At 44.6% G+C, this 12847-nt stretch overlaps 1 protein-coding gene and 2 long non-coding RNA genes across 16 annotated transcripts in view, besides 1 other annotated feature; 1 reads left to right on the top strand and 2 right to left on the bottom strand.

Annotated features, from left to right (window-relative positions):
- PIK3R5 (phosphoinositide-3-kinase regulatory subunit 5) overlaps positions 1 to 12847 on the top strand; it is an 86792-nt gene that overhangs the window by 56968 nt on the left and 16977 nt on the right. For 13 of the 14 annotated variants that reach the window (NM_001251852.2, NM_001388397.1, NM_001251855.2 and 10 more), the window contains 2 exons: positions 3003 to 3071; positions 3825 to 3963. Coding sequence is in view for 6 of the 14 variants with exons in the window: in NM_001388396.1 (NP_001375325.1) it covers positions 3003 to 3071; positions 3825 to 3963 (208 nt within the window). In the remaining 8 variants the exon portion in view is untranslated. Of the gene's footprint in view, positions 1 to 2157; positions 2337 to 3002; positions 3072 to 3824; positions 3964 to 12847 lie in introns of all 14 variants that reach the window. The other variant, NM_001388399.1, reaches the window with a different exon arrangement.
- On the bottom strand, positions 6424 to 7943 carry LOC124903921 (uncharacterized). Its single transcript, XR_007065612.1, has 3 exons — positions 7840 to 7943; positions 7423 to 7517; positions 6424 to 6462 (listed from the first exon to the last, which is right to left on the bottom strand). It is a non-coding gene; the product is annotated as an uncharacterized LOC124903921 (long non-coding RNA).
- Positions 7950 to 8069: an enhancer, noted in NCBI's record as "active region_11716". NCBI's record gives its function as "activates an Ori minimal core promoter by ATAC-STARR-seq in GM12878 lymphoblastoid cells {active_cell/tissue: GM12878}" and the evidence as "EXISTENCE:reporter gene assay evidence [ECO:0000049][PMID:35858748]".
- LOC124903920 (uncharacterized) lies at positions 9726 to 11554 on the bottom strand. The gene is made up of 3 exons (XR_007065611.1): positions 11464 to 11554; positions 11154 to 11319; positions 9726 to 9792 (listed from the first exon to the last, which is right to left on the bottom strand). It is a non-coding gene; the product is annotated as an uncharacterized LOC124903920 (long non-coding RNA).

Genomic DNA, 12847 nt, shown 5'->3' with positions numbered 1-12847 from the left:
AAAACTGATCGGAAAGGTAAACTGAGGCCTCCTCTCTTAGTTCAGTCAATGGCTTCATGACAAAGAAGAGGAATGGGTTTAGTGCTGAGCTGGGCTTGGGTTCCAGAATAGCTGTGAGTCCCAAAAGAGGATTTGGGCTCTTTTGTAAAGAATTCTCTTTTATGGTTGTGTGTGTGTGTGTGTGTGTGTGTGTGTGTGTGTGTGTGTGTTTTAATTATTTTAAATACATGTGATTTGGAAAACATGTCACTTTCACTCTCGGCTACCTATCCCTGTAAGAAGATGCCCAAGGTTACAGTTCTGGCCCCACTATTTACCTGGTAGTTTTTTCCTTCATCATAAGCCAACCAGCTCAGAAGAGCTGAACCACCTCTGGAGCGCATAACATATAAACCCAAATGGAAAGTCTGGATCACCGTGTAGCAAAAGAGGAGGGTTTCATAGAAAGGTCTGATCTGCAAGGCTTGGTAGACACATTGTCTATTAAGGATAAAGAGAAGGAAGATTCTAAATTTGAGCCTACTGGGCTCATCTAGCAGAGAAGACATGATGGGGCTTTCTCTGTATCTCCAACCCCCATGAGTTCCAAAATGGACCGAGAAACCTTCTGACCAATGAATTCTAAATCATGTGGTGTGCACATGTGTGCATGTGGTGTGGTAGGTTGTATCAGAGAGGCAGTTCACAAAAGGAGAAATAGAAGTTGTAAACAAATATGAAAAAGCGATACTAAAATAAATGCAAATTAAAACCATAATGAGACAAACTTTGCCTAACAAATTAGCTAAAAAACAAAAGGTAAGGCCAGGTACAGTGGCTTGTGCCTGTAATCTAAGCACTTTGAGAGACTCAGGTGGGAGAAATCCTTGAGCCCAGGAGTTCAAGACCAGCCTGGGCAACATAGCAAGACCTCGTCTCTACAAAAAAATACAAAAACTAGCCAGTTGTGGTGGTGCACACCTGTAATCTCAGCTACTTGGGAGGCTGAGGCAGGATTGCTTGAGCCCAGGAGGTCAAGGCTGCAGTGAGCCAAGATCGTGCCACTGCACTCCAGCCTGTGCGACAGAGCAAGACCCTATTTCTCTCTCTCTCTCTCTTTTTTTTTTTTTTTGTTAAAAAAAGATAAAAACCAATGCAGGAAAAGCATGGTGAAAATCGTACTTTTATATATATAGATAGTATAAATGGCAAAATCCTTTTGGAAAGCAATATGACAATATGTCTCAAAGGTCATAAAAGTCTATAAACATGTTGATAATCTTTGATCTGTTGACTCCACTTCTTGAACTCCTTTCTAGATTAATAATCCAAATTATGGAAAAAGGAATGTGCTGCATAGTAGTGTTCATTGCAAAATATGTAAAATACCAAGAAAATAATCTTGAATGTCCACAATGAAACTAATAAGATGCCAGGCATGGTGGCTCACGCCTGTAATCCCAGCACTTTGGGAAGCCAAGGCGGGCGGATCATGAGGTCTGGAGATCAAGACCATCCTGGCCAACATGGTGAGACCCCATCTCTACTAAAAAAAAAAAAAATACAAAAATTAGCTGGGTATGGTGGCACGTGCTTGTAATCCCACCTACTTGGGAGGCTGAGGCACAAGAATTGGTTGAACCCAGGAGGCGGAGGTTGCAGTGAGCCGATATTGCACCACTGCACTCCAGCCTGGCGACAGAGCGAGACTCCATCTCAAAAAAGAAAAAGAAACTAATAAGTTATGGAGGTCTACCAGAAGGAGTATAATGCAGCTAAAAATGATGGATATTATCCAAGGGCATAAATAAAATTTAATATATGATACAATTACATCATAAGATTTATTAAATGGCTTAGGGAAAATTGACTAAACATTTGGAAAAAGATAGAGTGAGATCCCCAACTGACACCATATAGCAGGTGAAATTCTAGTTGCACTAAATATTTCTCCTTTTTTTTTGGAGACAGAGTCTCAGCCTCCCGAGTAGTTGGGATTACAGGTGTGCGCCACTGTGCCCAGCTAATTTTTGTATTTTTAGTACAGATGGGGTTTTGCCATGTTGGTCAGGCTGGTCTCGAACTCCTGGCCTCAAGTGATCCACCTGCCTCGGCCTCCCAAAGTGTTGAGATTACAAGCATGAGCCACTGGGCCCAGACTAAATATTTCAATTTCAGAAAACGAAGCTTCAAAGAAGATAAGAAAGTATATATGAATATTTACATGATCCTTGCATGCAAAAGCAAAAATCCATGAAGGAAAAATCAACACCTGTAATTTCTGTACATCAAAAATATTTATAAAATTAAAAGGCAAACAACCAACTGGAAAAAAATATTTATAACACAAATAACAGGTAAATGTATAACCAGAAGGGAAAAAAGGTGGTCTTAGAGACCGTATAGTAAAACAGAAATTTACTTATAATACTATATGTAAAATACGTTAGGAGTAAAAATATACACACAGCTTATAGCTTCGCAGACACAGGAACAGAAAACCAAACACCGCATGTTCTCACTCATAAGTGGGATTTGAACAATGAGAACACATGGACACAGGGAGGGGACATCACACACCGGGGCCTGTCGGGGATGGGGGACAAGGGGAGGGAGAGCATTAGGACAAATACCTAATGCATGTGGGGCTTAAAACCTAGATGACAGGTTGATGGGTGCAGCAAACCACCATGGCACATGTATACCTATGTAACAAACCTGCCCGTTCTGCACATGTATCCCAGAACTTAAAATAAAATTTAAAAACAAAGAAAAGAAAATACATAGGGCAAAAATGGCATCAGAAGAGGGACATTGAAACAGCTGTGGTTGGGTTTGGGAGGGGAAATTGTAAGTGTTTTCGTTTACATCCATTTTCCAAATGTTTGTCATGTGATTGCACTATTTTCCCCTAAAAAAAAAAAAAAAAGAAAGGCTAGAATGAGGAAGAACCACTGTATTCTGCCTCAGGGAGCCCTGGACCCCGTGAATGAGGCTCATTCCCCTTCTCCTCCTCTCCACAGGTCCAGGAGAAGGGCACCTACGACCTGCTCACCCCGCTGGCCCTGCTCTTCTATTCCACTGTTCTTTGTGTAAGTCCACGTGGGCCAGGATGCTGGAGGTGAGGGAGGAGGGGGAGGAGCGACCTCTATCTGGGGCAGAGCCCTCACACCTCTGGAGATAAGCAGAGAGAGAAACTGTCAAGCAGCGGCATGTGAAATGGGTTTCAACCCTTAGATGGCTTCAGAGCAGCCACCATGAGAGGCTTCTGGTGACTCCATGTGGCCGCCATGGTGCCTGGCATCTCTGGGCTCCCATGTTGGAACTGCTGTCACTGTCTGTTCACAGGCCACAAGAGATATTCTATGTCCACCTCATTTTTCACCCCAGTAGTCGGTTTCACCCAATGTGATCACCCCCTGTATTCACCAGACAGGGGGGCATCAAATGTGTACACTGACTGAATCCATCCTCAAAAAATAAACATTTACCTGTAATGAGGCTATTTAAGTAAAGGTGGTTTAGGCATTGAAGACCATTATCCATAACAAGTGTCAGCAATGGCACCATTTACCAGTAAGGGGACAGCCTTTCAGAGAGGCTCACTCAAGCATTGGGTAAAGCAAGTCCCTCCCAGTAGAGACACCCTGGGTGCCATCTTGCCCATCTGTAACCCACTCCCTGTGAGTAACTTCCAGTTCCACCTGACCTTGTCCTGGGACACGCTGCGGCCAGGAAATGTGTGTCTTTTGTGGAATATTCCAGAAAGGGAGCAGAAGCTGTCTGGGACTATCTGAGCCTTTTCTCACCTAGATCTCTTTGCTTGTTGCCTGCCTCCATCCTAGACACCACACTTCCCACCAGACTCGGATCTCCTTCTGAAGGCAGCCAGCACCTACCACCGGTTCCTGACCTGGCCTGTTCCTTACTGCAGCATCTGCCAGGAGCTGCTCACCTTCATTGATGCTGAACTCAAGGCCCCAGGTAAGCACTGAGGCAGCTGGCACGGGGGACAGGGCTCAGAAGGTCAGAATGCTTCCAACTCCTCTGAAACTGTTTTTTGTGACCCTCCTTACCTTGCATCCTTTGATTCATCTCTGCCAACGCCTTGGTTCACAAACATGGAGTCTCCTCTTCACAGCACCATCAAGCATCTGATGGTTGAATCCACACAAGATGAAAGTAAATATGGGAGGTAACTCGAGGAGGGATTGTTAGGGGAAGTAGGAGCAGGCACTCAGGGCAAGGAGACCCCACCTTGGCCTGTGCCTCTGATCTGGTTAGTCAAGGGGTCTCCAAGGCTACCCAGATCAGACAGAGAAGCCCCCAGGATGCTGACAAGAGGGCTTTGCATGTTCTCTGTGCCCCAGGAACAAGTAGGTAATTGTGTGTGTGGGTTGATGCAGTTTGGGTTGGGGAAGGTGGCTGGTACTAGGAACAATGACCACTGTGACAAATGTGGACAAGACCCGGGACTCAGTTTTCATGTGTGGGGTCTGAAAAGTAAGAATTCTTCAGAAATTGCAGGTGCTGTCATAGACATGCAAATCAGGTCTAAGGAAGCTACAGTAGTGCAGGAGAAAACTTAGCAAGTGTGATTTACTGAGAAGCGGCTCAGCGAATCAGTACTCAAAGGAATAAATTCGCAAAAGCATCTCAATAGATGCCTCTAAAATATTTCATAAAATTCATCATCATTCCTGATATTCAAAACCCCTCAATATATGGAAACGATTACTCTAGAAGTGCTTTTAATATGGCAACAGCCCAAGGTAAAATACTAGAGGCATGTTCTTTAGAGCCAATAATCTTCCTCTTTTGGCTTATAGGTATTTGCCTATGCAAAAAGACAAAAATAAAGAATACTTTCTCTTCTGAAGAAGAGAAATTTTAATTAGTTGGAGCTCAAACAATTGGTTTTCTGTCGAGACTGAGAGAATCCCCTGAACAAAGAATTGTCAGAACTAGAAAACAGGTAGCTAAGAGCTTTTTTTATAAACCAGCATTAACCAGTGAGAAAACATAATTTTAAAAAATTTACAATAGCAATTAAAAATAAAAAATAAAAGAAATTTTAATAACCTATATAGAGAAAACAAACTTTGCTGAAGAATGAATAATTGAAGAATCGTATTGCTGGGTTGAATCAATATTGTAACGAGACCAGGTGTTAGGAAAGTAAACGTAACCACAATCAAAATACCAAGATATTTTTAAAATTTATAAAATATATGTAAACTAAAAAACATAATATATAAATATTTTACAAATAAATAAATTTATATATAAAGAAAATAAAAAAATCTATTTGAAAGATTTATTTATGCACTTAGTATATATTCATTCATGTATTTTTAAAGGAGAGTAAGAAGGAAATATTTCCATTTTTTGAAGGTACTATAGGGCTATAGTTATTAAAATAGTACACTATGGGTATAAGAATAGATAGATAATGGAAGAAGATGTAATATCTAGAAATATATTAAATATACAAAATTATATTATATGACAAAGTGGCATCCTCAAATTACTGATGAAAAAATCAGTCATTTCATAGATGATATCAGGATAATTGGTAGACCATAAAAAATATTGAGTTAGAAGACTATCTAAAAAGGCCAGGTGTGGTGGCTCATGCCTGTAATCCCAGCACTTTGGGACGCCAAGGCGGGCAGATCACCTGAGGTCAGGAGTTCGAGACCAGCCTGACCAATATGGTGAAACCCCATCTCTACTAAAAATAGAAAATTAGCTGAGTGTGGTGGCATGAGCCTGTAATCCCAGCTACTCAGGAGGCTGAGGCAGGAGAATCACTTGAACCCAGGAGGTGGAGGTTCAAGTGCCTCCGAGATCACACCATTGCACTCCAGCCTGGGCAACAAGAGCGAAACTCTGTCTCAAAAAAAAAAAAAAATTCTATCTAAAAAATAAAATTAAGAGTTCTAATGCAAACATAAAAATAACTTTTAGATACATTAAAGGTTTAGGTGTAGAAGACAAGACCACAAAAACTACAGAAGAAAAATAGGTTGTATTAGCCTGGAGTGGAGAAGAGCTGCCAAACATATTCCCCAGGGCAAAAATTATAAAGGAAAAGACTAACAGATATGAAAGCATAAAATTTAAAGCTTTTCATATGGCAAGCCCACTTTGAGTGAAAGGTAAATGACAAACTGAGAAAAATATTTGCAATAAAAATTAATATATCAGGCCAAGTGCTGTGGCTCAGACCTGTAATCCCAGCATTTTGGGAGGCCGAGGTGGGCAGATCATGAGGTCTGGAGATCGAGACCATCCTGGCCAACATGGTGAAACCCGTCTCTACTAAAAATACAAAAATTATTTGGGCGTGGTGGCATACACCTGTAGTCCCAGCTACTCGGGAGGCTGAGGCAGAGAATCGCTTGAACCTGGGAGGCAGAGGTTGCAGTGAGTCAAGATCGTGCCATTGCACTCCAGCCTGCAGACAAAGCGAGACTCCATCTAAAAAAAAAAAAAAAAAAAAAAAAAATTAATATATCAAACCCATGAAGAGGTTTTTTTTTTAGTCCATTAAGAAATAGGCAAATACACTTATGGAAATATGAATAAATATGATTCAAGTACATCAAAAAGAACCCCCCAAAATATTCACCCTCACTACTCATAAAGAAAATGCAAAACTAAAGAGCAAGACTCTTCTTCCCCCCCTATCAAATTGGCAAAAATTAAAAAGAAAGAACAAAAATGCCAGCGCTGGTGAGGAATGGGGGGCTGTGTTTGCTAAAGCATCAGAAAGCATACCCTTTCACCCAGCAATTCCATTCCTCAATTTTATCCTGATGAATCCCTATGGATGTACAAAGATGTAGCTACAAAACAAAGACGTTCATCAACGCATCCTTGCTAATAATCAACCAATGCCAAAAAACCTAAATATTGAACATGGTTGAGTATACTGCGGCAAAGTCATTTGGTGGAATGATATTCAATTATTAAAAATGATATTGTAGAAATAGTTACTGAGCTCAAAAGATGTTGAATAACTAGTTGAGCGAAAAAGCAGTCCCCCCAATACTAAGTATGTTATAATCCCATTTTTGTTTTCTCTCTTTCTAATGTATACATGCACCAGGTCCTGTTTAGTACTGGCAGCGTTTAATTCTCACCTTACACATTAAACACACACAGAACAGAAGTACCAAATCTTATTCCCCAACAACTTATGGACCCTAGAAAGCTCAAGACTGGCTTGTAAATTTCTTTGGAAGTGTTCATAACTTTCCTACCCAACCAGTTACCTGATCTGTCTGCGCCCCACCCAGTCAGCTGACCTGTCTGTGCCTCGCCCAATCAGCTGATCTACCTGCCCCCCCATCAGTCAGCTGTCTGTCATTACAAAGAGCAGAGCAAGTACAGCTAGGGATGGCCAACCCCCAAGTCTACCTATAACAAGGTCCTCACCTCATGGTAGAGACTTGGGTGGAGATTTAGGACATCAGGAAGACCCTTAGGAGGCGCTGGACTCTGAAAGGTAAAAGCTGGGTTTGCCAACCCAGCTTCCCAAGGAAAGGAACAAACCAGTTAAAGGAACAAACCCTAAAGGAACACGCCAGTTTAAGGTCAAACTCCTTCATTCCCTCCCACACTCCCTCCCACTGTCCCCCAAAACAAACAGATCAGAATGCCTTCTGAGCTTCTGGTTGGTGACTGAAGTTCCTTTGCTAGGAGGCAATGCCTTTCTTCCTTTCGAGTACGCTCAGAGAAAGAATTTAAAATGCAAATGTCTTGGCAGGGCGTTGGGTTTCCACCAAAGACCGAAATGATTCTTTTTTATTTTGAAAAGGATAAGAGAGTTGTGGGGTTGGGGGAGGGGATTACCTGTGGGGAGACCACTTCCCAGTTTCAAGTAGAACCGGCTGTCCCTCCTCAGCTCAATGCACGCTATGCCTTGAGATATTTTTGCAGGCGGCTGGGTAGAAACTCCGTTCTGGGCAGCACAGAAAGCAGATGTGCCACGGAGGTGCTGGCGGTGGTGAGGCCCTGGCCCTGGAATGATAACATGTGAAGCCTGCAGCACAAGGGCCAGGCAGGGCAGCAGCTGGAGCCGGAAGTAGAATGAGGGTCCTTTGGCCTCAGAGCAGGGGGGACTCTTGGAACCATCACTCACTGCTGATGGCCTTTTCCTCCACATCCTTCCCGGGACCATGTGAAGCTTCAGATATCCTGGTGACCAAGGAGAAGTCAGATGCCCCAAGAGGGCAGCTCAAGCCAAGTACCCATGGCAGGAACCTCTCCTCTTCCAGGGAAAGCAGAACCAAAATAGGAAACCATCAACTCTCCCTCGTTTCGGGGAATCATTTTCAAACAGTTCCAAAACCTCACACATACGTAAATATACAGTGAGCCTGTGCCCGCTCATTAATGAGGAAACCAGCACGATGATAGAGCTGGCTTAAAGGAGGATCCAAGAAACTGAGATGAGCTCCTCATGGAAGCTAGAGTAAGACTCAAAGTTAGATACCAAATAGTTAACATCACAGAGGGGAATAAAACCATAACCTTTGAGGTTATCTTTTCTATTGAACAAAAATCTCTTGCAACTTATCTCACATCCACCAGTTAACCTTCAATTTTAAAGAACCTAAGCCCTAATTAATGACAGATAGTTAAACAAAATTACCTTCTACATGACCCTTAAATGAGCTTGTTGAAAAATACTTTCGCACGATTTTTTTTTTTTTAAGATGGAATCTCGCTCTGTCACCCAGGCTGGAATGCAGTGGCACGACCTCGGCTCACTGCAACCTCTGCCTCCTGGGTTCAAGCGATTCTTCTGCCTCAGCTTCCCGAGTAGCTGGGACTACAGGCGTGCACCACCATGCCTGGCTAATTTTTGTATTTTTAGTAGAGACGGGGTTTCACCATATTGGCCAGGCTGGTCTCGAACTCCTAACCTTGTGAGCCGCCCACCTCGGCCTCCCAAAGTGCTGGGATTACAAGCATGAGCCACCGCGCCCAGCCTTTCCTATGATTTTCAACAGGCCTGCTGCCCAATTCCTGAGTCCCTCCCACCCCCAGTTAAGTGGAGAAAGAGCTAGGATGGAGGCCAGGGAACTTGAATGCTTGAAGGAGAGGCTGAATAACTTAGTGGCTTCTAGTCCTTGGGACCAGACCATTGTACTTGCAAATACTGGGTCTGCTACTTACTAACTGTGGGCCTTCAGCAAGACGTTTAGCTTGTGAGCTTCCGTTTCCTCATCTGTAAAATGGGTGTATAGCAATGCCTCCCTGTCAATGCAGTTAGTGAGGATTAATGTTGGCCTAATTGATTTCACAGTGCTGGGGGCAGTAAGGGTTGCAGTGGTGTTAGCTTAGAAGGTAGGTCCTGGTAAAGTCACAGGGAGAAATGAGAAGGGACGTGGGGAGGTGGGCCCTCCCCCCGTGAAGTCTTAGGGACCCAGTTGCCATGGAAATGAATGAAACAGTTTATCCTGCTTTGATGTGGCTGGGTGGCAGAGGAAGTGGGCCTGTTATCAAGGCTGGGGGCCTCCCCCTGCTTCCTGACTCCACCCCCGTATGATCGCCCAGTGCCTCAATTCTGGAGGTAGCAGGAAACCTCACGTCAGTGCCACTGGGTCCTGCCCACCACAGCCCTCTTGGGCTCAGCCCACATGTTTATTGAATATTTACTCTATGCCTGCATAGCTGTGCCGACCACAATACTTTCCTGCAAAGAATTTACCTGTAAACCTGGGGGATGACATGGGGCATCTTACATGCAAACCGCTCTGCAATTTTCAAAGCACACAGACCTCAAGGATTGCACCTTGCCTGTAGGGGAAGAAGGAAAAGTCATATTCTTCTCATTATAAAATGGGAAATGATTTTGAGAAGACCAAGTTCAGTATTTCTTGTTTAAGCTACAAAGTGAAGTATGAAAGAGGGAACACGAACCCTTGTATGACAGAGACCTACACTTCGTCACTTATTAGTTAATGACCTTGGACAAGTTCCTTAGACTCTCTGAGCCTCCTGGTCAAAAGCAGGATTATAATTATCGTTGATGATGATGACGAGGAGGACAGCAATGATGCCAGGGTTGCTTATGGCATATGAAGCACCGTCATAGGTTGGTCCCATCTAACCCTCAGAACACCTCCCTGGGTAGTTACTATTATTCCCATTTTTCAGATGCTGAAACTGAAGGCTCGACATTTATGTAACTTGCCCCAGGTCACATAGCTGACAAGAGCTCTACCACTTGAACCCATATCTCTTTGATACCAAAAGTCATATCCCATCCTTTTCACATTTGCATAAAGCTGTGTTTCTACCAAGAGGCACTGACAGATGGCTGCATGACCCTGGGTTGCCCAGGCTGTCTTTTTATAAACGCTCTCCCCCTTGGGGAATTTCTCCTGCCCCTTTCCCTTTGGGTTGCTTAATATGGCTTCATACCCTTTGACTTCCTATCAAATGGGGAACAAACCTGGGTTAGGTCAGTTTTGCTTATCAGCGGGTGGCAGGTGAATTCAGAATGTTCTTCAGTGGTGTTACATTTCTCTGGGGACATTACTGATCACAGACATTTGGATTTTATACTTTTTGTCTCTGGTTATGGAATGAAAGGTTAGACCTCTTGAAGGATGTCAAACATCATTGACTAGTAGGTGGGGGAGGTTTAGGGAAAAGAGTAGAGGCAGGTGTTCCAGAAACCACACGGTGTGATCAGTTAGGACTGAGCTGGCTGCCTATAGCAGAAAGCCCCAAACAACTATGCCTTAAACTCTCAGGGGCTATTTTTCTTTTACACACAGACACACAGACACACACACCACACACACACACATACACACACACAATCTGTATGAAGGCAGGCCAGCATTGGCATGGTGGCCCCATGAACATCCTGGACCAGCCTTCCCTCATCTTTCCACTCCACCATCCTTGGCAAAAGTCACCATCTTCAAGGTTGCTTCTTGGTCTAGGATGGCTGCTGGAGTGCTGGCCATCATGTCCACATTCCAGTTAACAGAAAGAAGGAGGTGAGGGGGGTTGCACCTAACACATTCTGCAAGGGAGGTTGAGAAATTGACTCATCAACTGGGTACAATGCCCAGTGTCCCACTCATAAAAAAACGAGGAATGGATATTGAGTAGATGCCTAGAAGTCTCTGCCACATATGACTTACTTGTAAGAGTAGCCCATAAGGCCTGGATTGGTCCTGTTAGGGTGACTCTCACCAGGGTGGTGAAAGGGTGTTATGAAAGGTCTCATCTCAGTTCGCCCCCACAAGCCCGGTGGCTCTGCAAAGCTGGAGACCTCATCCCACAGGCGTTTCCGTGGGGTCACTGCACCTGTTCAGAGCAGCATATGTCTTGTGGTGGCACTGGCCTTTCATTCCAAGAACTCACATCTCCTCTGCCTGCATGAAGGCCTGCCCAGTGGGTTCCTTCCCCCCAGTATTTTCCTCTTGGCTTTCTAGCCACATTCCTTCTCACCTTCCCCCTCTCTGCTCCTGGACTCCCGGTGGCCAGAGATTCCGAGCCTCCCTTGTTATGTCTTCTCCTTTGTTTATTCACCTGAAATCCGTGCTTCACCTTCCTGCCCAGGCCCTGCTGAGGCCCACAGCCATGAGTCCCCAATTCCTCCAGCCTCTCTGGAGTCCAGGACCCTGGGGATGGGGAGCAGGAAGGCGCTATACATGGGACCCCCAGTGAGGAGGGAAGTGTAAGAGAAACCCTGCTGTGGGGAGTGGTGTGCCTGGTGTTTGCTTCAGGGTATGAGGTAGGTCAAACTGTCCACCATGAGTTGATATTAATCATAGTTGCTGGAGAACCAAACCTGATCTAGTCTCATTTGGAGATTGCAATGCCGTTGGGGCCGGGCTCTGCTTCCACCCTGTTGATTCCGTGGAATCTTGGTGTTCCCCTTGTAGGAGGAAACTGAGTCAGATGTGGTTGCTCCCTGCCTCCCCCAGGCTCAAGTACCCACATCACCCTCAGCATGGACCTGTCTATCCGTGTGTCATTAATACCAGTGCTTGCTTGATGGCAGATGTAGTGATTTTCCTGTGTCCTGGATCTTCACAGTCTGCTGTTCTGTGCAGGATCCCCATCTATTTGCAACTTTGAAAAAGAGTGGAAGCTTTGATGGGTGAACAAGGCTTAATGGCGAAGGGCCTTGGACACCTGGGCCAGGAGTTTGAACTTCACTATGAGTGTGTTCTGCCCACTCACCCCGTTCTTCGCCTGTATGGGGTGACTTCTCTCAATTTCTTACTTGCTAGAGCCTGACGTAGGAACAACCCAGGCAAGATTTTTGTTTAGCCCTTGCACCAATCTTGATCTAAGAAGCTAAACTCAGAAAGTTGTTTCCATCTGCTAAGGTGACCAAGAAAGGGTGTGATCTAAGATCAAAGGGAGAGAGGTGTCTGTGGATCTGAGGCTCCCCAGTGCAGCCTCCCTGTTTGGGGAGTGGAGGGTGGAGTTAAGGGTGGTCTCGAAACTGACATTGCACACCCCACTTAGCATTCATGGCCTCCCTGGCATCACCAGGTAACATTGTGAAAACCAAGCCCATGGAGGGTGCTGGGAGATATTTCCAACCTCACAGCACATACCAGCAAATGGGGACTCGGCAGTACAATCTCTAAGCCAGGCTCAAAGGAGTCAGTCTGTACAAAAGCTTATATTATCAAAGCCTCCTCCACATTGCACAGTCTTTTCTAATGTGTTCCCAGCTCAGGCCCCAGCCCACCAGTTAATTACCCCAAAACCCCACACCCCATGCTAAGCAGGGAGGTCCATTACCAAGAGAGGCCAAGGAAGGGGGTTGATGGTGTTTTGGGGGTGAGGGCGGGAGTTTATCTGATGATCATAGGTT

The sequence above is a fragment of the Homo sapiens genome, chromosome 17 (genome assembly GCF_000001405.40).
Source record: "Homo sapiens chromosome 17, GRCh38.p14 Primary Assembly".
NCBI classification, from domain to species: Eukaryota; Metazoa; Chordata; class Mammalia; order Primates; family Hominidae; genus Homo; species Homo sapiens.
Note: the sequence above shows the minus strand (reverse complement) of the source record. Positions and strands in the feature narration are given on the sequence as shown.